Source organism: Homo sapiens, chromosome 18 (genome assembly GCF_000001405.40).
Source record: "Homo sapiens chromosome 18, GRCh38.p14 Primary Assembly".
Lineage (NCBI taxonomy): Eukaryota > Metazoa > Chordata > Mammalia > Primates > Hominidae > Homo > Homo sapiens.
This window is the reverse complement of record NC_000018.10, coordinates 49,763,542-49,790,101: the sequence shown is the minus strand read 5'-3', so window position 1 is coordinate 49,790,101 and position 26,560 is coordinate 49,763,542. Positions and strand designations below refer to the sequence as shown.

At 42.1% G+C, this 26,560-nt stretch overlaps 1 protein-coding gene across 1 annotated transcript in view; it reads left to right on the top strand.

The window, feature by feature from the left end:
• ACAA2 (acetyl-CoA acyltransferase 2) overlaps nucleotides 1-7,938 on the top strand; it is a 31,370-nt gene extending 23,432 nt beyond the window's left edge. The window contains exons 8-10 of the mRNA NM_006111.3: nucleotides 2,741-2,811; nucleotides 4,751-4,905; nucleotides 6,171-7,938. Of these exons, the coding sequence (NP_006102.2) occupies nucleotides 2,741-2,811; nucleotides 4,751-4,905; nucleotides 6,171-6,255 (311 nt within the window). The 3' untranslated portion in view covers nucleotides 6,256-7,938. The remainder of the gene's footprint in view (nucleotides 1-2,740; nucleotides 2,812-4,750; nucleotides 4,906-6,170) is intronic.
• The last annotated feature ends 18,622 nt before the right edge of the window (nucleotides 7,939-26,560 follow it).

Genomic DNA, 26,560 nt, shown 5'->3' with positions numbered 1-26,560 from the left:
TTATGGCATTTATTATTTTGATATCTAGGGTAGTGGTTCCCAACCTCAGATGATTGTCAGAATCCACTCATAACCCCCACACCCTTAGATTTTGTTTCAGTAAGTCCAGAGTGGAGCCCAAGAGCAGAGTTGGTTTTGTTTTTTGTTTTTGACACAGAGTCTCGCTTTGTCACCCAGGCTGGAGTGCAGTGGCGTGATCTCAGCTCACTGCAACCTCATTCTTCCCAGTAGCTGGGATTACAGGTGCCCGCCCCCACGCCTGGCTAATTTTTGTATTTTTAGCAGAGACAGGGTTTTTCCACGTTGGCCAGGCTGATCTCAAACTACTGACCTCAGGTGATCCGCCCACCTCAGCCTCCCAAAGTGCTAGGATTACAGGCGTGAGCCACCATGCCCAGCCCAAGAGCAGAGTTGGTTTTTTTCCTGCATACACCTAGATGCTTTTGATGATCAAACAAATGTATGTGACATGGGTTGGCTATTTTATACTCCTTTTTCAGTTTAACTTTATTTAATAGGTTCTGGTAGATTAGCATAGCCAGTGAACCAAGAAAGCGTTGTTTTCCTTCCTTCTGTTCCTGGGCCTGAATATTTGCCCTAAAGTACAAAGAATGCTCCTGTGGTAGGATTGTCATTTTTCCTCGGGGCTTGAACAGAGCTGTACATTCCAGATGTCCCACAGTATCAGCTGCCCCCTTCATCTAGAAGTTTGGCTGTCACTTGTATATAGTGATGGGATTAAACAAAGTAACTCGTTGAAGCATCCCAGATGAATAAGTGGGGAGAATAAGTTATTAAGTATCTAGTGGGAACTGGTTTGTTAATCTAACTTACAAGAATAGTGGTTCTCAGTTCCATGATTACCTAATGACTAGCAATCCTTAGCCCTGCAGAATAGCTGCAGACCAAAAAAAAACGGGGAAAGCCATGACTTGAAAAGAATAGTACTGGTTCTGAGGAAATACACAGCTATAGAAAGACAGCACTCCCTGGAACTCCTCAGGGGTGGCAATGGTAGAGGTTGGTGGGTGGAACTTTGAGCCTCTTCAGCTGGAGCAGTCTGGCATTATCTATTACTTGGCATCATATGCAAAAAGAATTCTGATGCTTAAAGAGAAAAAGGTGGAAAACCCATTCAGAGTGCTATTGATGAGTAGCTTGTTGCCCAGAGAGATGCACAAAGTCGCACAGCTATTAGTGACAGGAACCAGGACTAGAAATAAGGTCTCCTTTTCCTAACAAGAATACTAAACCTTCCTGAAGTCCCAGTAAATAACAGTGGTCTGGGAAGAGTCCTTTAAAAATCGAGTTATGGCCTAGCATATTGTTACGGTGGATTCTGAGTTAAAGTGAAAGTACGAGTCATGCTTGCTGTGTTGTTTATGCAGACAAGGAAGTGTGTACAGTGGTCTGAACATTGTCCACCTTTTATGTGTCTGTCACCACTGTTGGCTACTTCATCCCCTCACCAGGCTGGATAACTGATGCTTTACTACTGACTACCCATCTCATTTTCATGATTTCATGCTTTAGACATACAAAGAGAATCTGGAATCAGATCCTGTAGTAAATCAGTAGCTGTAGTAAATCAGTAGCCACATGAAACTGGCATTTTAAATTGAAGTGCATTAACTGGATAGTCCTAATCAATAAGCACGTGGTTTGTTGTCCAAAGAGTATTTTAACTACGTGACAAAATAAATATTATATTTAGGTTTCATTATGCCTTTCTTGTAAAGACTGATTTTCCATTTTATAAGGTAAAATGCTTGTGAAACTTGATGCAGAATATTTGACTACTTGAATTCAGCAGAACATACTACATATTTTTCTTTGTAGACATTTTTGGCAGTTTCATTCTTTAAGAACAAGTCGAGAAGTAGATAATCTTCTCTACCCAAATTTTTTACCTTTTGAGAAAAAATATGGATTTAAATTATGAGCAATATTAAACTCTCATTACATCATCAGAAATCTGGGAGCTAAAGTTTATTTCAGAAGTCTTATTAGATGGAGTTGCATTTCTTAAATTAGGAGTTATGTTTTATTTAAATTTCCTGCCTACCCTTGGAGTTGTAAACATCACCTTACTTCATAAAACCTTCCCTGAAGTGCCTCGTAGTTTCCCATCTCTCTGTGCCCATGTGGAGATACTGCTATTTCTTGTCTTTTATCCAAATGGGCCTGAAAATTCAGAGTGTAGCCACAGTAACTTCTGTGCTGTGAATGCATATGGCTTGGATCCCAAGTAGAGCACTCAGTCTGCCTTGCTCTTTGATATCAATTATAATCTATTAACATAACTAAAATCCCATATATGGACTCCTTTGGCTGTTTTCAATCTTAAAGCCGTTTATGGTAGAACTTTTCATGTAATTCTCTTATCTGCAGTTTGAATGTATAAACAACTTTTCACCTTGGTTCCATTTTATTTTTATTATTATTTTTTTTCTTTTTTAGAGATGGGGTCTTGCTGTGTTGCCCAGGAGGCTAAAGTGATCCTCCCACTTCAGCCTCCCAAAGTACTGAGATTACAGGCATGAGCCACCATGCCTGGGCCCTTTTTCTGCCTCTTTATGGTCACTTCATTTAATAGGTACGGTCAAGGTAGTAAGATTTGTGGCTACTAATAACTGCCGCATTATTTCTTCCTTACTTGGAAAGAAGGAGAAGCTTGATACGTAAATATAAGATGACATTTATTTCTATATTTTTATAGAAGATTTTTATTATTATATAGGTCCTGTCCCTGCTATCAGTGGGGCACTGAAGAAAGCAGGACTGAGTCTTAAGGACATGGATTTGGTAGAGGTAAGTGTTTTTTTTTTTTTTTTTTTTTTTAACAACATGAATAAACCATGTACTTTTATAGCATAAATGACTTTAATTTGGTCTCATTGCTCTTTGAATTTCATTGTAGTTAGCCTTTCCAAATGATGTACATCTAAATAAATAGTACCTTCATTAGATGCCTTGTGTTGATACTTTTCCCCACCTGGTTAACATGCTTTATTTATATTTGAATATTCAAACTGCCTGATTTCTCTTACTCAAGTATAAATTCCTGGGAATTTCTTACTACTTTATAAAACTGTTACATTTTAGACTATTAACATGCCTGTTGAATATTAAAGTGAAAAAATATATGTAAAATAATTGACATAATAGAAAAGCAATATTTAGTGCCAAATCTACAAGTTTCTTGCCCTTCTCGCCAGATAGAGCCCCCTCCCTTAAATGTATCTTTGGCTTTTATACGATAGTTGTAGCTTGATTTGGGATGCACCTATCATAATTTTTGACACTGGAACTTAAATTTATTGAGTGATTTCTTTTTAAATGTTAGTATTAGAACTAAAGTGTCTTAAGCATAATTAAAAGAAGAGGTGGAGAAACATTTAAAGATGGTTATATACATTCCACACTTTTGGAATATTTATTTGAAAATTTTAGGTGATTAAGCATGTGATGCCTGGCATTGGGAAATAACTAATAGAACAAAGGAAATCTATTTAACTTGATAGCGAAGGGGTAGGCACAGGTGTGATTTCCTCTATGATAATCTCTCACACAGGAAACCATGATTTCAGACAAATGGTTTATCTTTAAATCTCTTCCACTTTTAGCAGATCACAGTTCAGAGCCTCAAAGAGGCTGTTTAATTTATTATATTTGTGTCAGCAAATAGGTACCACTAAATTTCTCACTTTAGACCTCACATTTAAAACTATTAAACTATATCAACTTTGGGAAGTTGTTCATAATCATTTGGAAATGTATACATTCTCAAGGACATAACTCAGACCATAGTTTTCCTAGGTTCAAAAGCCTAGTTTCACTACCTATTCTAGGTCTCTTAGTACCTCCTTGAAGATGGCTCTGTATATAGAGTAGAAAGATAATGGTGGATCTAAGCACATATGAGGCACCATCTTGAGAGACCACAAAGTATAGTAGGAAAGAGCACAAGACTGAATTTTATCCCAACTCTGCAAAAGTTACCTTTCTTAGAATGAGTTTCCTTATCTATAAAATTCCTGAATTAAGATCATATGATAATACAGTACTGTAAACTTGAAGTAAGGTAATTGCCAGTTTGTGTAAGTATAACATAATATACTTTTCAGTTCTGCCACATTTCAACATAGTAACTGTTCCCTTTATGTACGTGGCTTTGAAGGTTTATTCTTTGTTGTGTGTCAGCTTCTTGGAAGGATAGCTCCTAGTACTGCATAATAATAATAATACTTGCAACCACTTATTGAGTACTTGCCATGTTTCAGGTAACACACTGGACACTTAATACTCATGATTTTATCTAACTGTGACAGTGACTCTTAGCATGATACCACAGTCACATTTTCACACGCGGAAACGTGAATTTAAAGAGTTTAAAGAATATGCATAAGGTCACACCCTAACAAATGGTATAGCCAATATTTGAACCATCCATCCAGTTCTAAAACCTGTGGGCTTTCTACAGTATCCCACTGTGTCTGGTATGTGTCAATTTATGGGATTACTGAGAATTGCCTCTAAGGGATGCATTTGACTAAAAGTATTATTTAGTAAATATACACATTTTAAACCTGATAGCTTTATGCAGAATGATTGTAGATAAAATAACTTTGCGAGGTAATTTAAATAGGAAGAAACAGCAGACTTAGCTGTTGATAGGACTGGACCATTCTCATTTAAAAATTAGTTTGTGAGTAAGGATTTTTGTTAGTGCTCTAATTTTTGTTTTAAGGTGAATGAAGCTTTTGCTCCCCAGTACTTGGCTGTTGAGAGGAGTTTGGATCTTGACATAAGTAAAACCAATGTGAATGGAGGAGCCATTGCTTTGGGTCACCCACTGGGAGGATCTGGATCAAGAATTACTGCACACCTGGTTCACGAATTAAGGTATTTGCTAGAAATAGCTGCATTTCAGATTTGCTGTTTTTTATAGAAATGCATGGATTTAGGCTTCCCCAGAACACTCCAACATTTTTCATTCTTCTTCATGTCTCCTGCACTGGCTGTTACCAGGAACAAGTTACTTGGGCAGTGCTTTTCATCTGGTCTCATAGATGAGTCAGTCACCTTGTTAGTGGCTTTGCACTTAAGAACCAAGCTCTTCCTCTGTGTGTCCAGTCTCTGTGCACTGTGTGCCCCACTCAGCTTGTGTTCACTGCATGAGCAGATAATGAGGCCCTGCTTCTCATGGCACTTGTATTTTAGTGCCAGTTACAGGAGTAAAATAAATCTATTTTAGAAAAAAAAAGTACTGAGTGAGTACTGATCTAGATGCCATAATTTATGAAATCTAAGCAAACTGACATTTGGGTCTAAGTTTTTCTTTTCACTGCTTGCAGGGTTCCAGGAGGAACCTTTTGGGTGTTTGGTGCTTTTCAGTTTTGATAGATAGTACCAGAAGGAGGAGCTCTTCTATTTTTGGAATATTTTGCTCTGTAGAAAAATTGCAAACAAAACCAAGTAAGTCAGGCTGAAAAATTACTCTGACTCCCTGTTAGGCCAGGGGAAATGTGACTCTTATTTCACTTAATGATTCCCTGAGTTGAAATAGGTGATTGCCACATACAAAAGTAATTCCTGGATAATTTTCTCGAAGTCATCATATTAGGAGTGAGGAGTACTTTAAAAGAGTCTAATTTTTATGAAAGGGACATGGATAGTTTCTAAATTATCTGCCCTTTCATAGGGACAAACTTTATTAATTACATTTCTTCTAAGGTGCCATGAGGCTCTCACACTATATAAATCAAATATATAAATCAAAGGAGCTTAATGTTCATCCCCTTCCCCAGCTTCCCATTTATCCAGTTACCTCCTCTTCTCACTCCTTTCCCGTAACACACACAAGCTTCTGTATGTGTTTCATATACCCTAAATCTACTCTATAACCCTAAATCCACTCATCTCCTTTTTAGTTTGCCTCCCTCTTCTGGTGTTTGTTTTTGTTCTTTGTTTTTTGTTTTTTTTGATTAAAAACTTTCAGCTTTCCAAAGTCTGTTGCCTGTTGTAATTATACCAAAATTGAGGACTGGGGAAAAGATTGAGCAGATGAGCTGAATAAGGATGAGTAATGCAGATGTGATGTTATTAGTTCTATTTCATTAATCTGATTTTTTATTAGAGTAGATTTCAGTCACTGCTTTCTTTTTCAGGCGTCGAGGTGGAAAATATGCCGTTGGATCAGCTTGCATTGGAGGTGGCCAAGGTATTGCTGTCATCATTCAGAGCACAGCCTGAAGAGACCAGTGAGCTCACTGTGACCCATCCTTACTCTACTTGGCCAGGCCACAGTAAAACAAGTGACCTTCAGAGCAGCTGCCACAACTGGCCATGCCCTGCCATTGAAACAGTGATTAAGTTTGATCAAGCCATGGTGACACAAAAATGCATTGATCATGAATAGGAGCCCATGCTAGAAGTACATTCTCTCAGATTTGAACCAGTGAAATATGATGTATTTCTGAGCTAAAACTCAACTATAGAAGACATTAAAAGAAATCGTATTCTTGCCAAGTAACCACCACTTCTGCCTTAGATAATATGATTATAAGGAAATCAAATAAATGTTGCCTTAACTTCAGTTAATATTTTCCTGTCATTTATATTTTTAAAAATTTTAAATTGTGATAAGATACACATTACATAAACTTTACCATCTTAACCCTTTTTTAGCGTACAATTCACTGGTATTAAGTACATTCACATTTTTATACAAACATCCCCACTTTTTATCAACAGAACTTTTTCAGTCACCACACATGGAAACAATAACTCCTGATTCTCCCATCCCCCATCCCCTGACAACCACCAGTGTATTTTGTTTCTATAAATTTGATGACTCGAGGTACCTCATAAGTGAAATTATAAATATCTGTCCTTTCGTGACTGGCTTATTTTACTTTACTTTATATAATGTTCTCAAGATTCATCCACCTTATGGTGTAGCATGTGTCAGAATTTCCTTCTTTTTAAAGGCTGAATAATATTCTGCTGTGTGTATAAACCTTACTTCCTTCTTCCCAGCTTAAAGGCCATCTTTCATCCTTTATTTTCTCCCTTTAAAATGCCCCCACAACACTTCCATTGCTTTATTTGTCTGTTCTAAGACTGGATATCTAGTAGGGCAAGGCCCTATTCTTGTTAACTTCATCAAAGAGCCACTGGAAATTTTAATTAAGATTAAATTGAATTTATGGGTTATACATTTATTGGGGGGAAATTTTTTTTTTTTTTTTTGAGACAGAGTCTCGCTCTGTCCTCCAGGCTGGAGTGCAGTGGCGCGATCTCAGCTTACTGCAAGCTCCGCCTCCTGGGTTCATGCCATTCTCCTGCCTCAGCCTCCCCAGTAGCTGGGACTACAGGCGCCTGCCACTACGCCCGGCTAATTTTTTGTATTTTTAGTAGAGATGGGGTTTCACCGTGTTAGCCAGGATGGTCTCGATCTCCTGACCTCGTGATCCACCCGCCTCGGCCTCCCAAAGAAGTGCTGGGATTACAGGCGTGAGCCACTGCACCCGGCCTTTTTTTTTTTTTTTTGAGATAGCATCTTGCTCTGTCACCCAGGCAGAATTGCAGTGGCACAGTCATGGCTCACTGAATAATAGATGTTAAATAATACTAGATGTTAAATAATAGTATCATAAGTACCTACACTGTTTCCTCAACCCTTTGCTTATATGGTTTCCTTCATTTGATTAAAAAGCTGAAGTGGCACATACATCCCCCTTTCTGTCATAGAGAGGCAGATGACAAGCGGCCTACCCACGGTTTGGGATAATGGACTAGTGGCAACAGGCAAGTCCAGCTTTTATTGTTTGGGATCCTTACTGAGAAGCAGCAGGCTTCCTCTACTGTCATAAAAATATTAAAAAGTAAGAGCCCTGTATAATTTCTCATAATAAAACAATGTTTTGCAGAACATTTTGTTTTTTACATATTCTTCGTTTGTTGTAACTTATAATAAACTTTCTCTGGGATGAAATGACCAAGGTCACATGTTACCATCTTCTAGAAACACTAGTGATAGTTTATCAAGCCTATGAATTTCCAGATGAAGAAGGAATTGTCGCCAATAGCTGAAGCAATCCGCTTCCCAGGGCATCTCCTGGCACAGGCCTTGGTAAAGGTTTATCGCTTTTCCCCATAAAGGTCTTGTGTAGTTTTGTTATCCAACTGAGACCTTTTTCCTATTTTCTTTTACATTTGATTATTGCTAATGAATAGCTTTTGGATATTATATATCTAGCCAGCTTGTGGAACCCTTTTATTAATTTGAATCATGCAGATAGTATCTCATTTATTTTTATTGCCTTTTTGCCTTGTGCTGAGACCACTGGCGCAGTACTGGAGGAAATAAAATGTGGTAATGCTCATATTCGTTCCTCACTAAGTTGATGCTTACAGTAGGTTTCTGATAGATAATGCTTTATCAAGGTCAGGAAGTTTCCTTCTATTCTTAGTTTTCTTAAGGACTTTATGAGTGGTTCATTCATTCTTCACTCTAATCTTACTTGGCTGCCACCACTTAAGCCACAGTTCTCTTGCTCATGCCACCCTTTATGTTCATATTGCCAGAACTAGTGGAGATCTTTCTGTCTTCACCTTATTTGACTTCTCCAAAACATGACCCAGTTGACCACTCCTCCTTGAACTGACTTCTGTTCATGTCTCTGCTTTTCCACTGCCTCTCAGGCCATTCTTTTTCATCTTCTTGGGCAGCTGCTCCACTGCTGTGAGTTTCTTGGGATTGGTTTTTGGATTTGTGGCGATTTCTTTCTATGATTCTAAATACCATTACATTTGGCTGGGTGCAGTGGCTCATGCCTGTAATCCCAGCACTTTGGAGGCCAAGGCCAGAGGATCACATGAGCCCACGACTTCAAGACCAGTCTGGGCAACATAGTGAGACCACATCTGTACAAAACAAAAAACCAGAAAAATGAGCTGGGTGTGATGGCATGTGCCTGTAGTGCCAGCTGCTCAGGAGGCTGAGGTGGGAGGATTGTTTGAGCCCAGGAGGTTGAGGCTGCAGTGAGCCGTGATTGGGCCACTGCACTGAAGCTTGGATGACAGAGTGAGACCCTGTTTCAAAGTACATACATATATACATACATAATATATCATCACATTTACATCCCAGCACTGGTCTCTACCTCCAGACTGCTGTAGCAAACTCCCGTCTTGACTTTTCTCACAGATGTCTTCTTAAACATGCCCTGAGCAGTAACTTTTATCATATCCCACTTAACCAGCTCCCTCTTCAAGTTCTTCTCAGTGCCAGTAGCTCAAGTCAGAAATCCAGGCATTTCCCTCAGTTCTACCCTCTCCCTCACTCTTCATCTCCAGTCTATCAGCAAGTATTATCAGTTCTTCCAAGATATAGCTCAAATACATCCATTTCTTCCCCTCTCCACCTCCACTACTGTGGTCCTAAGCCACCAGAATCTCTTGCCTGGACAACCACAAGAGCTTTTAGAGGCTCCTACCTCCATTCTTACCCCTCTTCAGTCATTCTCTAAGAAGCCACCAGGAGCATCTTTTAAAAACTCAAACTATGGTGACTCTAACGTGATCTCAGGCCACTCCTCTAGCTCCCAGTGCTTCAGACAAATGGCCTTTCTGGGGACGGCTTGCACACCATGCTCTTTCATGCCATAGGGCTTTGGCAGATGTTCTTTCCTGTGCCTTCCTGGGCCTGGGTCCCGCTCACCAAGTCTCAGATGCTTCCTCTTCAGTCAGGTTCTCTGTTCTGTTCACCCTAAGTTCCTCGCCCTGAGACTTTCCACTGTAGCACCCTGACCTTTATGGAACTTTCCTGAATTCATATTCACTTAGTAGTCCATTTACTGTCTCACTCCCTCATTAGACTGTAAACTCCATAAAGGCAAAGACTTCATGTGTTTAGCACAGCGCCTGGCACATGGTAGATGCACAATAATGTTGTTGATGGAATGAGTGCTTGGATGGATGGGTGAATGGATAGATGGACAGATGATGTTTGAAGAAATTATAGCATAAAAATTGCTTAATCTTCAAAGGATTAAGAGATGGATGGGGCCGGGCACAGTGGCTCACACTTGTAATCCCACCACTTTGGGAGGCTGAGGCGGGTGGATCACCTGATGTCAGGAGTTCGAGACCAGCCTGACCAACATGCTGAAACGCTGTCTCTACTAAAAATACAAAATTAGCTGGGTGTGGTGGCACCTGCCTGTAATTCCAGCTACTCAGAAGGCTGAGGCAGGAGAATCACTTGAACCCGGGAGGCAGAGGTTACAGTGAGCCGAGGTTGTGCCTTTGCACTGCAGCCTGGGCAACAAGAGCAAAACTCTGTCTCAAAAAACAAAAACAAAAAGATGATGGATAGGAGGCAGGACTAGATTACAGCTCCCACTCAGACGGATGGAGCAGTATGTGGAAACTAACATCATGAACTTTTGCTCCAAGAACTGGCAGGAACATACCAAGAAAGCTGAGACAATCCACAGACCCCTTTGTGAAGGAACTGGATCACTGCTGCAGGCTCCCTGAGACACCAAAAAACTGTGAGTCTGCTTGCTTTCTCGATGGGAAGGCTCGTGGTCTGGGGCAAGTTCTCAGCCCTGGTCTTCGGCTGTCTGAAAATAGACTCGGTGCTGTTGGCAAGGCATGGTGGGAGTGAGACCAGCCTTTAGGACTGTGGGCTATGTGGAAGCGGGGTGAAGCCTGTGACTGCCGGCTTCCCACCACTTCCCTGACAACCTGTATGACTCAGCATAGGCAGCCATAATCCCCCTGGGAACATAACTCCATTGGCCTGGGAACCACACTCCCATCCCTTACAGCAGCTGCAGCAAGCCCTGCCCAAGGAGAATCTGAGTTCAGACATGTCCAACCCTGCCCCCACCTGGGGTCTTTCTCTACTTGCCCTGGTACCCGAAGACAGATGTCATAATCTCTTGGGAGCTCTCTGGCCCTGCCCACTGCTTGAGAAACCTGAAAACCGGGTGTCCCCAGGGCAAGTTTGCATCCTCCCTATAATACTGCAGCTGATATGCTCTTGAAAGCACCACCTCCTGGCTAGAGGCCAACCAACACAAACCAGCACACTAAACAAAAATACAACCAAGGACCCTCACAGAGCCCACTTCACTCCCCTGCTACCTCCAACTGGAGCAAGTGCTGTTATCCACGGCTGAAAGACCTGAAGACAGATCACTTCCCCGGACTCTTTGCAGACATTCCCCGGTACCAGCCCAGAGCCTGGTAGCTTCACTGGGTGGCTAGACCCAGAAGAGCAAAAACAATCACTGCAGTTCGGCTCTCAGGAAGCCCTATTCCTAGGGGAAGGGGGAGAACACCACATCAAGTAAGCACCCTGTGGGACAAAAGAATCTGAACAGCAGCCCTTGAGTCCTAGATCTTCCCTCTGACATAGTCTACCCAAATGAGAAGGAAACAGAAAAACAATTATTGTAATATGATGAAACAAGTTTCTTTAACACCCCCAAAAGATCACACCAGCTCACCAGTAGTGGATCCAAACCAAGATGAAATCTCTGAATTGCCTGAAAAAGAATTCAGAAGGTCGATTATTAAGCTAATCAGGGAGACACCAGGGAAAGGTGAAGTCCAACTTAAAGAAATCAAAAACATGACACAGGATATGAAAGGAAAAGTCTTTAGTGAAATACATAGCATAAATAAAAAACAATAATGACTTCTGGAAACCAAGGACACACTTAGAGAAATGCAAAATGCACTGGAAAGTCTCAGCAATAGAATTGAACAAGCAGAAGAAAGAACTTCAGAGCTCAAAGACAAGGCTTTCAAATTAACCCAATTCATCGAAGACAAAAAATAATTTAAAAAATGAACAAGCTGCCAAGAAGTTTCGGACTATGTTATATGTCCAAACCTAAGAATAATTGGTGTTCCTGAGGAAGAAGAGAAATCTAAAAGTTTGGAAAACATATTTGAGGGAATAATCGAGGAAAACTTCCCCAGTCTTGCTAGAAATCTAGACATCCAAATACAAGAATCTCAAAGAACACCTGGGAAATTCATCACAAAAAGATCATCACCTAGGCACATAGTCATCAGGTTATCTAAAGTCAAGACAAAGGAAAGAATCTTAAAAGCTGTGAGGCAAAAGCATCAGGTAACCCACAAAGGAAAACCTATCAGATTAACAGCAGATTTCTCAGCAGAAACCCCACAAGCTAGAAGGGATTGGGGGGGTCCTATTTTTAGCCTCCTTAAACAAAACAATTATCAGCCAAGAATTTTTAATCCAGCAAAACTAAGCTTCATAAATGAAGGAAGATTCAGTCTTTTCCAGACACATGCTGAGAATTTGCCACTACAAAGCCGGCACTACAAGAAGTGCAAAAAGGAGCTCTAAACCTTGAAACAAATCCTCAAAATGCACCAAAATAAAACCTCCTTAAAGCATAAATCTCACAGGACCTAAAATACAATAACACAATGAAAAAAAACACACAGGTATTCAGGCAACAAATAGCACAATTAATAGAATAGTACTTCACATCTCTACACTAACGTTGACTGTTAATGGCCTAAATGCTCCACTTAAAAGATACAGAATGGCAGAATGGATAAGAATTCACCAACCAAGTTTCTGCTGTCTTCAGGAGACTAACATAACACATAAAGACTCACATGAACTTAAGGTAAGGGAAGGAAAAAGATATTCCATGCAAATGGACACCAAAAGCAAGCAGGAGTAGCTATTCTTACATAAAACAAAACAAACTTTAGAGCAAAAGAAGTTTAAAAAGACAAAGAGGGGCCGGGTGCAGTGGCTCATGCCTGTAATCCCAGCACTTTGGGAGGCGGAGGCAGGCAGATCACAAGGTCGAGATCGAGACAACCCTGGCCAATGTGGTAAAATCCTGTCTCTCCTAAAAATACAAAAATCAGCTGGGCATGGTGGTGTGCGCCCATAGTCCCAGCTACTTGGGAGGCTGAGGCAGGAGAATCGCTTGAACTGGGGAGGCAGAGGTTACAGTGAGCCGAGACCTCACAACTGCACTCCAGCCTGGTGACAGAGTGAGACTCTGTCTCAAAAAACAAAACAAAACAAAACACAAAGAGGGACACTATATAATGATAAAAGGACTAGTCCAACAGGAAAATATCACAGTCCTAAATATATACGCACCTAACATTGGAGCTTCCAAATTTATAAAACAATGACTACTACACCTAAGAAATGAAATAGATGGCAACACAATAAAAGTGGGGAACTTCAGTACTCCACTGACAGCACTAGACAGGTCATCAAGAGAGAAAGTCAACAAACAATGGACATAAACTATACCCTACAACAAATGGACTTAAGAGACATTTACAGAACACTCTACCAAACAACTGCAGAATATACATTCTATTCATTGGCACATGGAACATTCTCCAAGATAGACCATATGATAGGACACAAAACAAGTCTCAGTAAATTCAAGAAAACTGAAATTATATCAAGTACTGTCTCAGACTACAGTAGAATAAAATTGGAAATCGAGGAGCCAAGATGGCCGAATAGGAACAGCTCTGGTCTACAGCTCCCAGCGTGAGCAACGAAGAAGACGGGTGATTTCTGCATTTCCATCTGAGCTTTGAAGAGAGCAGTGGTTCTCCCAGTACGCAGCTGGAGATCTGAGAACGGGCAGACTGCCTCCTCAAGTGGGTCCCTGACCCCTGAGCAGCCTAACTGGGAGGCACCCCCCAGCAGGGGCACACTGACACCTCACACGGCAGGGTACTCCAACAGACCTGCAGCTGAGGGTCCTCTCTGTTAGAAGGAAAACTAACAAACAGAAAGGACATCCACACCAAAAACCCATCTGTACATCACCATCATCAAAGACCAAAAGTAGATAAAAACCACAAAGATGGGGAAAAAACAGAACAGAAAAACTGGAAACTCTAAAAAGCAGAGCGCCTCTCCTCCTCCAAAGGAACGCAGTTCCTCACCAGCAACGGAACAAAGCTGGACGGAGAATGACTTTGATGAGCTGAGAGAAGAAGGCTTCAGACGATCAAATTACTCTGAGCTATGGGAGGACATTCAAACCAAAGGCAAAGAAGTTGAAAACTTTGAAAAAAATTTACAAGAATGTATAACTAGAATAACCAATACAGAGAAGTGCTTAAAGGAGCTGATGGAGCTGAAAACCAAGGCTCGAGAACTACGTGAAGAATGCAGAAGCCTCAGGAGCCGATGCGATCAACTGGAAGAAAGGGTATCAGTGATGGAAGATGAAATGAATGAAATGAAGTGAGAAGGGAAGTCTAGAGAAAAAAGAATAAAAAGAAATGAGCAAAGCCTCCAAGAAATATGGGACTATGTGAAAAGACCAAATCTACATCTGATGGGTGTACCTGAAAGTGACGGGGAGAATGGAACCAAGTTGGAAAACACTCTGCAGGATATTATCCAGGAGAACTTCCCCAATCTAGCAAGGCAGGCCAATGTTCAGATTCAGGAAATACAGAGAACACCACAAAGATACTCCTTGAGAAGAGCAACTCCAAGACACATAATTGTCAGATTCACCAAAGTTGAAATGAAGGAAAAAATGTTAAGGGCAGCCAGAGAGAAAGGTCAGGTTACCCTCAAAGGGAAGCCCATCAGACTAACAGCGGATCTCTCGGCAGAAACCCTACAAGCCAGAAGAGAGTGGGGGCCAATATTCAACACTCTTAAAGAAAAGAATTTTCAACCCAGAATTTCATATCCAGCCAAACTAAGCTTCATAAGTGAAGGAGAAATAAAATACTTTACAGACAAGCAAATGCTGAGAGATTTTGTCACCACCAGGCCTGCCTTACAAGAGCTCCTGAAGGAAGCACTAAACATGGAAAGGAACAACCGGTACCAGCTGCTGCAAAATCATGCCAAAATGTAAAGACCATGGAGACTAGGAAGAAACTGCATCAACTAACGAGCAAAATAACCAGCTAACATCATCATGACAGGATCAAATTCACACATAACAATATTAACTTTAAATGTAAATGGACTAAATGCTCCAATTAAAAGACACAGACTGGCAAATTGGATAAAGAGTCAAGACCCATCAGTGTGCTGTATTCAGGAAACCCATCTCACATGCAGAGACACACATAGGCTCAAAATAAAAGGATGGAGGAAGATCTACCAAGCCAATGGAAAACAAAAAAAGGCAGGGGTTGCAATCCTAGTCTCTGATAAAACAGACTTTAAACCAACAAATATCAAAAGAGACAAAGAAGGCCATTACATAATGGTAAAGGGATCAATTCAACAAGAAGAGCTAACTATCCTAAATATATATGCACCCAATACAGGAGCACCCAGATTCATAAAGCAAGTCCTGAGTGACCTACAAAGAGACTTAGACTCCCATACATTAATAATGGGAGACTTTAACACCCCACTGTCAACATTAGACAGATCAACGAGACAGAAAGTCAACAAGGATACCCAGGAATTGAACTCAGCTCTGCACCAAGCAGACCTAATAGACATCTACAGAACTCTCCACCCCAAATCAACAGAATATACATTTTTTTCAGCACCACACCACACCTATTCCAAAATTGACCACATAGTTGGAAGTAAAGCTCTCCTCAGCAAATGTAAAAGAACAGAAATTATAACAAACTATCTCTCAGACCACAGTGCAATCAAACTAGACCTCAGGATTAAGAATCTCACTCAAAACCTCTCAACTACATGGAAACTGAACAACCTGCTCCTGAATGACTACTGGGTACATGACGAAATGAAGGCAGAAATACAGATGTTCTTTGAAACCAACGAGAACAAAGACACAACATACCAGAATCTCTGGGACGCATTCAAAGCAGTGTGTAGAGGGAAATTTATAGCACTAAATGCCCACAAGAGAAAGCAGGAAAGATCCAAAATTGACACCCTAACATCACAATAAAAAGAACTAGAGAAGCAAGAGCAAACACATTCAAAAGCTAGCAGAAGGCAAGAAATAACTAAAATCAGAGCAGAACTGAAGGAAATAGAGACACAAAAAAACCCTTCAAAAAATTAATGAATCCAGGAGCTGGTTTTCTGAAAGGATCAACAAAATAGACCACTAGCAAGACTAATAAAGAAAAAAAGAGAGAAGAATCAAATAGACGCAATAAAAAATGATAAAGGGGATATCACCACCGATCCCACAGAAATACAAACTACCACCAGAGAATACTACAAACACCTCTACGCAAATAAACTAGAAAATCTAGAAGAAATGGATAAATTCCTCGACACATACACTCTCCCAAGACTAAACCAGGAAGAAGCTGAATCTCTGAATAGACCAATAACAGAAGCTGAAATTGTGGCAATAATCAATAGCTTACCAACCAAAAAGAGTCCAAGACCAGATGGATTCACAGCCGAATTCTACCAGAGGTACAAGGAGGAACTGGTACCATTCCTTCTGAAACTATTCCAATCTATAGAAAAAGAGGGAATCCTCTCTAACTCATTTTATGAGGCCAGCATCATTCTGATACCAAAGCCAGGCAGAGACACAACCAAAAAAGAGAATTTTAGGCCAATATCCTTGATGAACATTGATGCAGAAATCCTCAATAAAATACTGGCAAAACGAATCCAGCAGCACATCAAAAAGCTTATCCACCATGATCAAGTGGGCTTCATCCCTGGGATGCAAGGCTGGTTCAATATATGCAAATCAATAAATGTAATCCAGCATATAAACAGAGCCAAACACAAAAAACACATGATTATCTCAATAGATGCAGAAAAGGCCTTTGACAAAATTCAACAACCCTTCATGCTAAAAACTCTCAATAAATTAGGTATTGATGGGACGTATTTCAAAATAATAAGAGCTATCTATGACAAACCCACAGTCAATATCATACTGAATGGGCAAAAACTGGAAGCATTCCCTTTGAAAACTGGCACAAGACAGGGATGCCCTCTCTCACCACTCCTATTCAACATAGTGTTGGAAGTTCTGGCCAGGGCAATTAGGCAGGAGAAGGAAAGAAAGGGTATTCAATTAGGAAAAGAGGAAGTCAAATTGTCCCTGTTTGCAGATGAAATGATTGTATATCTAGAAAACCCCATTGTCTCAACCCAAAATCTCCTTAAGCTGATAAGCAACTTCAGCAAAGTCTCAGGATACAAAATCAATGTACAAAAATCACAAGCATTCTTATACACCAATAACAGACAAACAGAGAGCCAAATCATGAGTGAACTCCCATTCACAATTGCTTCAAAGAGAATAAAATACCTTGGAATCCAACTTACAAGGGATGTGAAGGACCTCTTCAAGGAGAACTACAAACCACTGCTCAAGGAAATAAAAGAGGATACAAACAAATGGAAGAACATTCCATGCTCATGGGTAGGAAGAATCAATATCGTGAAAATGGCCATACTGCCCAAGGTAATTTAGAGATTCAATGCCATCCCCATCAAGCTACCAATGCCTTTCTTCACAGAATTGGAAAAAACTACTTTAAAGTTCATATGGAACCAAAAAAGCGCCCACATCGCCAAGTCAATCCTAAGCCAAAAGAACAAAGCTGGAGGCATCACACTACCTGACTTCAAACTATACTACAAGGCTACAGTAACCAAAACAGCATGGTACTGGTACCAAAACAGAGATATAGATCAATGGAACAGAACAGAGCCCTCAGAAATAATGCCACATATCTACAACTATCTGATCTTTGACAAACCTGAGAAAAACAAGCAATGGGGAAAGGATTCCCTATTTAATAAACGGTGCTGGGAAAACTGGCTAGCCATATGTAGAAAGCTGAAACTGGATCCCTTCCTTACACCTTATACAAAAATCAATTCAAGATGGATTAAAGACTTACATGTTAGACCTAAAACCATAAAAACCCTAGAAGAAAACCTAGGCAATACCATTCAGGACATAGGCATGGGCAAGGACTTCATGTCTAAAACACCAAAAGCAATGGCAACAAAAGACAAAATTGACAAATGGGATCTAATTCAACTAAAGAGCTTCTGTACAGCAAAAGAAACTACCATCAGAGTGAACAGGCAACCTACAAAATGGGAGAAAATTTTTGCAACCTACTCATCTGACAAAGGGCTAATATCCAGAATCTACAATGAACTCAAACAAATTTACAAGAAAAAACAAACAACCCCATCAAAAAGTGGGCAAAGGACATGAACAGACACTTCTCAAAAGAAGACATTTATGCAGCCAAAAAACACATGAAAAAATGCTCATCATCACTGGCCATCAGAGAAATGCAAATCAAAACCACAATGAGATACCATCTCACACCAGTTAGAATGGCAATCATTAAAAAGTCAGGAAACAACAGGTGCTGGAGAGGATGTGGAGAAATAGGAACACTTTTACACTGCTGGTGGGACTGTAAACTAGTTCAACCATTGTGGAAGTCAGTGTGGCGATTCCTCAGGGATCTAGAACTAGAAATACCATTTGACCCAGCCATCCCATAACTGGGTATATACCCAAAGGACTATAAATCATGCTGCTATAAAGACACATGCATACGTATGTTTATTGCGGCACTATTCACAATAGCAAAGACTTGGAACCAACCCAAATGTCCAACAATGATAGCCTGGATTAAGAAAATGTGGCACATATACACCATGGAATACTATGCAGCCATTAAAAAATGATGAGTTCATGTCCTTTGTAGGGACATGGATGAAATTGGAAATCATCATTCTCAGTAAACTATCAGAAGAACAAAAAACCAAACACCGCATATTCTCACTCATAGGTGGGAATTGAACAATGAGACCACATGGACACAGGAAGGGGAACATCACACTCTGGGGACTGTTGTGGGGTTGGGGGAGTGGGGAGGGATAGCATTGGGAGATATACCTAATGCTAGATGACGGGTTAGTGGGTGCAGCGCACCAGCGTGGCACATGTATACATATGTAACTAACCTGCACAATGTGCACCTGTACCCTAAAACTTAAAGTATAATAAAAGAAAAAAAAAGTCATATACAAAAAAGATACTTGCACACACGTTTATAGCAGCACAATTTACAATTGCAAAAATATGGAACTAGCCCAAATGCCCATCAATCAATGAGTGGATAAAGAAAATGTTGTATAGCTGGGCGTGGTGGCCCACATCTGTAATCCCAGCACTTTGGGAGGCCGAGGCAGGTAGATCACCTGAGGTCAGGAGCTCGAGACCAGGCTGGCCAACATGGCGAAACCCCATCTCTACTAAAAGTACAAAAATTAGCCGGGCATGGTGGTGGGCGCCTGTAATCCCAGTTACTCGGGAAGCTAAGGCAGAATTGCTCGAACCAGGGAGGCAGAGGTTGCAGTGGGCCGAGATTGCGCCATTGTACTCCAGCCTTGGCAACAAGAGCAAAACTCTGTCTCAAACAAACAAACAAACAAAAAAAAAAAAACAAAAGAAAATGTGGTATATATACATACTATGAAATACTACTCAGCCATAAAAAGGAACAAAATAATGGCATTCACAGCAACCTGAATGGAATTAGAAACTATTATTCTAAGTGAAATAACTCAGAAATGGAAAACCAAACATCATAGGTTCTCACTCATAAGTGGGAGTTAAGCTATGAGGATGAGAAGGCATAAGAAGTGATACATTGGACTTTGAGGACTCTGGGGAAAAGGTGGGAGGGGGGTGAGGGATAAAAGACTACACATTGGATACAGTGTACACTGCTCAGCTGATGGGTGCACCAAAGTCTCAGAAATCACCACTAAAGAATTTACGTATGGAACCAAACACTACTTGCTCCCTAAAAAACCTATTGAAATAGGCTGGGCGCGGTGGCTCACACCTGTAATCCCAGCACTTTTGGAGGTCGAGGGCAGATCACTTGAGGTCCGGAGTTCAAGACCAGCCTGACCAACATGGAGAAACCCCATCTCTACTAAAAATACAAAATTAGCTGAGCGTGGTGGTGCATGCCTGTAATCCCAGCTACTCCGGAGGCTGAGGCAGGAGAATTGCTTGAACCCGGGAGGCAGAGGTTGCAGTGAGCCGAGATCGTGCCATTGCACTCCAGCCTGGGCAACAAGAGCAAAATTCCGTCTCAAAAAACAAACAAACAAACAAACAAACAAAAAAACCTATTGACCTATTGAAATAAAAAATAAAAAAAAGGAAAGTCACAAAAAATAATAAATTGCTCAAAATCGTACAGAAGTAGAGCAAGTAGCTGCTCACACAATTTCCTTTACCCTTGTCTGTCTCTATAGATTATCATGGAGTGTGTGTATGTCTGCACATACACATGTGTGTACCTATGTGTTTTCAAAAGAGAAGGAGTGGAGAACTGGGGGAGATACCAAAGATATTGCCACCTGGCACTAAAGATCAATAGAAAGTGGGGTAACTATGGGAAATTTACTTCTGACCCAGCTACATGCTATAGAGAGAGTTAGGAAATAAAGCCAAATGCATCAGAGGTTTCCCCTAGGATGACCAGTTAATTTATCATCCAAACTAGGTCAGTCTTGAAAAGTGAAAGAGGACATTATTAATAATTACCCTGGGACAAAAGGTGTAAACTGGGACTGTCCTAGGCAAACTGGGACCTAGAGGACTCTAATAACCAAAGTGCATTGCAGTAACTCCACCTCAAGTTCAAGAAAGCTGAGCAAATATATTAAGTATGGATTGTTGGGTATGAAGATGATAAAGTAGTTGGTCAGAGTGGGATTCACTGAGTCCTTGACATTTGAGCAAATGCTTGAAGGAGGTGAAAGGTGGCCACACAGGTGTCTGGGAGAAGATCAGGGGAAACCAGTGCCCAAGCTGAGGCAGGAGCATGCCAGGTGTGTTCAGGGAACAGCAGTCAGTGCAGCTGGAGCAGAGTGAGTGGGGTGCATGTTATGCAGAGCCTTGTAAGTCATTAAGAGGGACTTTGGCATTTATTCTGAGTACAACCAGGAGCTACTGCAGGCTTTTGAGTAGAGAAAAGACATCATCTGACTTGCATTTCTATCGATATGTTCTACTGAAATGAACTTCAGAGGGACAAAGTTGGAGGCAAGGAGGTCAATTAGGATGCTATTGCAGTCATCCAGGCTAAGGAATAATGGTACCTCAGATCTGGGAGTCTACAGTGGGGGTGGTGAGAGGTTGTCAGATTCTGGATATATTTTGAAACAGTCTTGAGATTTTCTAATGGGTTGATTGGCTGTGAGTTGGCAGAGAGAAGTCAAGGATGATTCCTGGGCCTTTTCTCTCAGCCACTAAGATAGAGAAAGCTGCAGGCAGAACAGGTTTTGAGGGGAGTTCAGACATTCAGATGGAGATGCCAAGCAGGCCCTTAGGTGAAGGAGTCTGGAGTCTGAAAGCATTTGGGATGGGGATATAGACTTGAGAGCCATCAGCTTATAAATAGGACTTGGTCAAGAATGGGTGGCCTCCATCCTAGATGGATATAAATAAGAAATAAATATCAATTTTTCTTCTTATAACATTCCTAGGTTTTCATTTTTATGACTTTAAGAAAAATATGAATGACAAAAATAAAACATAAAATCAAATATATCTGTATTGCCCTTTGGGGGACACCATCTCTTGCTCACTTTACACAGTAAGTGCCATTTCCTTCACCTCCATGGAAAACATTTCGTAAATTACTAAGTTGAATAACTTAAAATATAGGACGGGAACATACATTTTAAAGGAATGCCTTTGTAAATGAGAAATTGTTTTTATAAAGTGATTGATGACTTTTCTTTCCCATTCTCTCTATTCTATTTTTTATTTTAAATTTTAAATGTGAGTACTAGAACTTCATTGACTGGGTGACTTGCAGTAGTCCAGCAATAAGCCCGGGCACACCTTGTACCCTAGGTGGCGCCTCAGGCTTGGGCTCCCTCGGTCACCTTCTCATCAGCATCTCAAAGAAGCATCTCAGCGAAATTGGCCTAACTCCTTCCCTTTCACTTCCTGGGACTTGAGGAAGAGAGAGAAGGAGCCAGGAGTAAAGAAACCTACGGTAGCAGGTGGGACGCAAATGCCCCACCTCCTGGCCACTGCCCCAGTACTGTTGGCCAAAGTCACTGCCTTTTGTTTCTCGTCAGTGAAAATGTGCAGTCACAAAGCCCCGAGAGCTGGGGAGTTCGTGTAACACAGCCCCTGAGCCAGTAACAGACCACAGGCCCTCCCTGAGGTGCTGAGCACCAGGGCAAGTGAGGACATGGAGGGACACAGCGGGGAGCATGGTCTGGAGCAGCAGAGAAGATGGGGTGACAATCATGGCACTCCCCACGCTTCTCTCCTGGAGCCCCTGGAGCCAGGGTGGCTCCGCTTCCTCACCCTGTCCCCTGTACTTGAGAGTCCACAGCTGCCCCCAGCTGCTCTCATGCAACAGAGCAGGGCTGCAGGAGCTGTCTGTCTATCCCTCCTCAATTTCTATGACATCAGCTGATACAGCTGTCACCAGAGAGGTCTGGGGGGGATGGGGAGCAGCAAAAAGACAAGCATGGGGAGATGTGTGTCCTGTGCCCTTGTCTTCCTTCCCCACTGAACTGTCCAGCTACCAGGACAGGAGCCATGCTGCAGACTCCACTCACACAGTCTAGTGCCTCTGGTATGAGTGCCTCAGCAAAGAAAAAAGCATCTGATAGATGCAAAACCTTCCAGGAGCACAGCCACCATGGAACGCAAGTCCCCACCTGTCTGTGCTGCCGTGTCTACTCTCCGCAAAATCCACCAGTTCCAATAAGTGAGAGCAAAGGAAGTCATGAGATAAGCTCCCCCAGAGCCAAGCCCTGGACCAGTCTCAGCACAGCCGGGATGTAGACACATTTCAGAAGCTTGGACCTTCTGGAATGTTGTAGAAACAAGGGGCATTGGCAGAAGTAAAATGCAGAATTGGATCTTAAACATGAAGTTCCTTGGGAGCCTTTTGAGTAATACAAGATCAAATTAGAAACCCCACAATGAAGTAACATGCTGATACCAAGAGCAAGCTATTCTAGCTACACATACACACACACACACGTATTCCTCAGACTACATTTCTAGATTGCAAAGAAAAGCTACATCCCCATGAGCTGAGGCCCACAGTGCAGACGAGATGGAACTCATTCCATGTTGGCCTGTAGGTTTATACCTGGTGTGACCATGAGCCTAGTGCTGGGACCCTACTCAGACCATCAACCAGGGCTCTAGGCCTGCGTCTTCCAGGGAGAACTAGCAGCACCCCCAGCCTTGCTGTCTCCCAATTCTATGCATCAGGTCATTACCCAGGCTGCTTTCTGGTCCCCACATGTAGCTCAGAGCCCTGAGATCACACGGATCTGCCCAGCCCTGGGAGGAGGCAGTCTGCCCACTGGAGACATTCCATTCCATTCCATACACTTCAATATGTTCATTATAGACGTGAGCTCCAAGAGGGTCTGGAACCCCCAGACTGTTGTTCTTACTGCACATGGTAAGTGGAGAAAACAAAATATCCACTGAAAAGACAATGGCTGAGACAAGACCATGTTATGAAGGATACATTTGTGTTTAGTCCCTTTGAACATTCTAATAGGCAGTTTTAGAACAAATAGGAGGAAGTCCTCTTTACATGGGTGCAAAGTAACTTCAGCAACTTGTTTTCACCAAGCAATAGTACAAGGTGAAAACAGAAATATTCTTAAGACCAAAAACATTTAAACATTTCTCAGTGTAATGAGGGGGGAAAAAAAAGCACTTTCAGCTGTAGTACATGACTTTATACCTATGTTTAAAAATGCACATACAGTTAACAACACTGTATTATATACTTGAAATTTTTGTTAAGAGGGTAGATTTCATGTTAGCTTTCTTACCACATTAAGAGGCATAGGGTGTGGCACCCAAGCACAGTGGCTCATGCCTGTAATCCCAGCACTTTGGGAGGTCAAGGTGGGAGGATCCCTTGAGGCCAGGGGTTCAAGACCAGCCTGGGAAACATATGGAGGCCCCCTCTCTTATTAAAAAAAAAAAAAAAAAAAGCAGATGGGGTGGGGTGGCACAAGCTGGGTGCAGGGGCATATGCCATTATTCCCAGCTACCTAGAAGGCTGAGGCCAAAGGATCGCTCTCAGTAACATAGTGAGACCCCCATCTCTAAAAATAAATAAATTTTAAGTTGGCTGGGAATATGGCTCATGTCTGTAATCCCAGCACTTTAGGAGGCCGAGGCGGGCAGATCTCCTGAGGTTGGGAGTTTGAGACCAGCCTGACCAACATGGAGAAACCCCGTCTCTACTACAAATATAAAAAATTAGCCAGGTGTGGTGGCACATGCCTGTAATCCTAGCTACTCGGGAGGCTGAGGCAGCAGAATTGGTTGAACCCAGGAGGCAGAGGTTGTGGTGATCTGAGATCATGCCATTGCACTCCAGCCTGGGCAACAAGAACAAAAACTGTCTCAAAAAAAAAAAAAAAATTTAAAAGAGCGTAGCCATGAGGAAACTTTTGGAGATGATGGATATATTTATTACCTTGATTGAGGTGATAGTTTAACGGGTGTTTACATATGTCCAAACTCATCAAATTATTAATGCACATATTAAATATGTACTTTTTTGCATAACAATTACACCTCAATAAAGCTGTTACAAGAATTTAAAGTGTTCCCCAATTGCCCAACAGAAGTCACTGTAACCCTCTCTGGAAGAGCCTGACTTCAATTAAGCAAGACACATCCTGAGTTCAAAGACATTAAAAGAAAGAGCATCAGAGAATGGATGACCTGGGGTGGCTCTAATTTTATAAAGCATTAGAAAGCAATAAAATATACATAAAATGTGAGTTGCTTGAGTGTCCCTGAATATGTCTGACCCTCAGAAGTCCCTCAGGTCCTCCAGGACTATCTGTGTCCTTATCACACACAGCAGACAGCAGTGTAGTAGTGTGTAGTGTAGACAGCAGACAGCAGTCCCATCTGCTCCCTGTCTACACTGGAGTCAATGCAAGAAAGGGAATTCCTCTGTGTATTTCATTTCCGACAAGAGGCCAGCAGGGGTGAAAAAAAGCTGAGCGGGTGGGAGAAAGGAAGGGCATTGCTTCCATAGACATGGACTGAGGGCCACTGAACAGAGAGGGAAGGATGCAGAAACCAGCTGCCAGGGCCCTGGCTCAGGGGACATGTAGTGTGGCCTGTGGTACAGGCAGGTCACCATCGAGTCCATAGACGCAGCCCCCAAAACTTCCAAAAGGTGCTCCTTTGCCTCCTGCACAGGTCTGGGTCATGAAGGTTCCTTCCCTGAAGGGATCAAATCCTATCTGGAAACCCATGGAAAAAGCCCTGACATAATTAAAAGTGCAAGACTGTCGAGAACCAGACACTCTACGCTCTGTGAGTCAGAGAAGGGAGAAGTCAGGTCACCTGAGGAAGACTTTTGTTTGGTTGTTTGTGTCTTTTGCCTTTTTGTTTGTGAAGAGGTTTGCATAGAGGAGGTGGGCTCTGAAGGGCCTCAGAGGATTGAGAGCCCCTCCTGAAGCCCAAGGTTGTAAAATGTGTACCTCCTGGTGGGGATGCTGGGCCCAGGACTGTGGCTGTGGGCTCCTCCTGCACACATGCTGCAGGTGACGGGCTCATTCTGAGCCTCTCCCCACTCTTTCGGGATGTCTTCAGGTGGATGCCCCCAGGCTGCCCCATCTGCAGTGTGTAGACAGTGCAGGTCTCAGCAGCTGCCCCCTCCCCACTCCAGGCCCTGGTCCATGATGTGTCCCCTGCCCCCTAACTGGCTAAGTACCTGCCCTGGGAAGAAGCAGGAGATGAGGCAGAACCCTCCCAAACACACAGACCCAGTGATGGAAGGTCCAGTGCCCACGGGGCACCCAGGCCCCACCAGGAGTTGGCTTTGCTCAGTCCAGGGCTCCTTCAAGTCCTGGGCATCCTGCCAGGCCTCATTCCCCACATGCTTAGTGAACATCTTCCACTAACAATACAAATGGGGAGAAGAGCACCATAGGAACATTCCCGTGAGTTTAGCTACTTCTCAAAGGAAGGAAAAAATAAACATGCATGCCGACAAAGCAGCTATGTTGGCAAGGAGGGGGTGTCAGACTCCTTTGCTGTTCACGTGGAATCCCATTGCTTGAAGCCTGGTGGGCCTAACTCCCACTTTACAGCTGAGGCTCCTGAGACCCAGAGAGGGAAATGGTCTGTCCAAGACCATGGCTTCCATCAACAGCTGAGCTGGTGGAAGGCAGGTGCCCTGAATAACCAGCTGGAGGCAGGTGGTCTCCTTGCACTCCAAAAGGCTGGATGCTATGCCAGAGGCTGAGCCCCACACAGGTGTCTCTTTCATTGTGTAAATGTCCAAAACTCACCTGCTGACCTCCCAGGATGCTTTTACAGCTAATCAAAATAAGAAACCTACTGAGATCACACTTCCCAAGGCCCTTTTCCCAGAGCATTCTAACTCTGTACGCCCCTCTCCCAACCACCCTGACTCCCAGATGTTAAGAACGTTAACAGAGTCAGTGTCCACACTCGCCTGATCTTTTGCTCTTCCCAGAAAAATCAGCCCAATT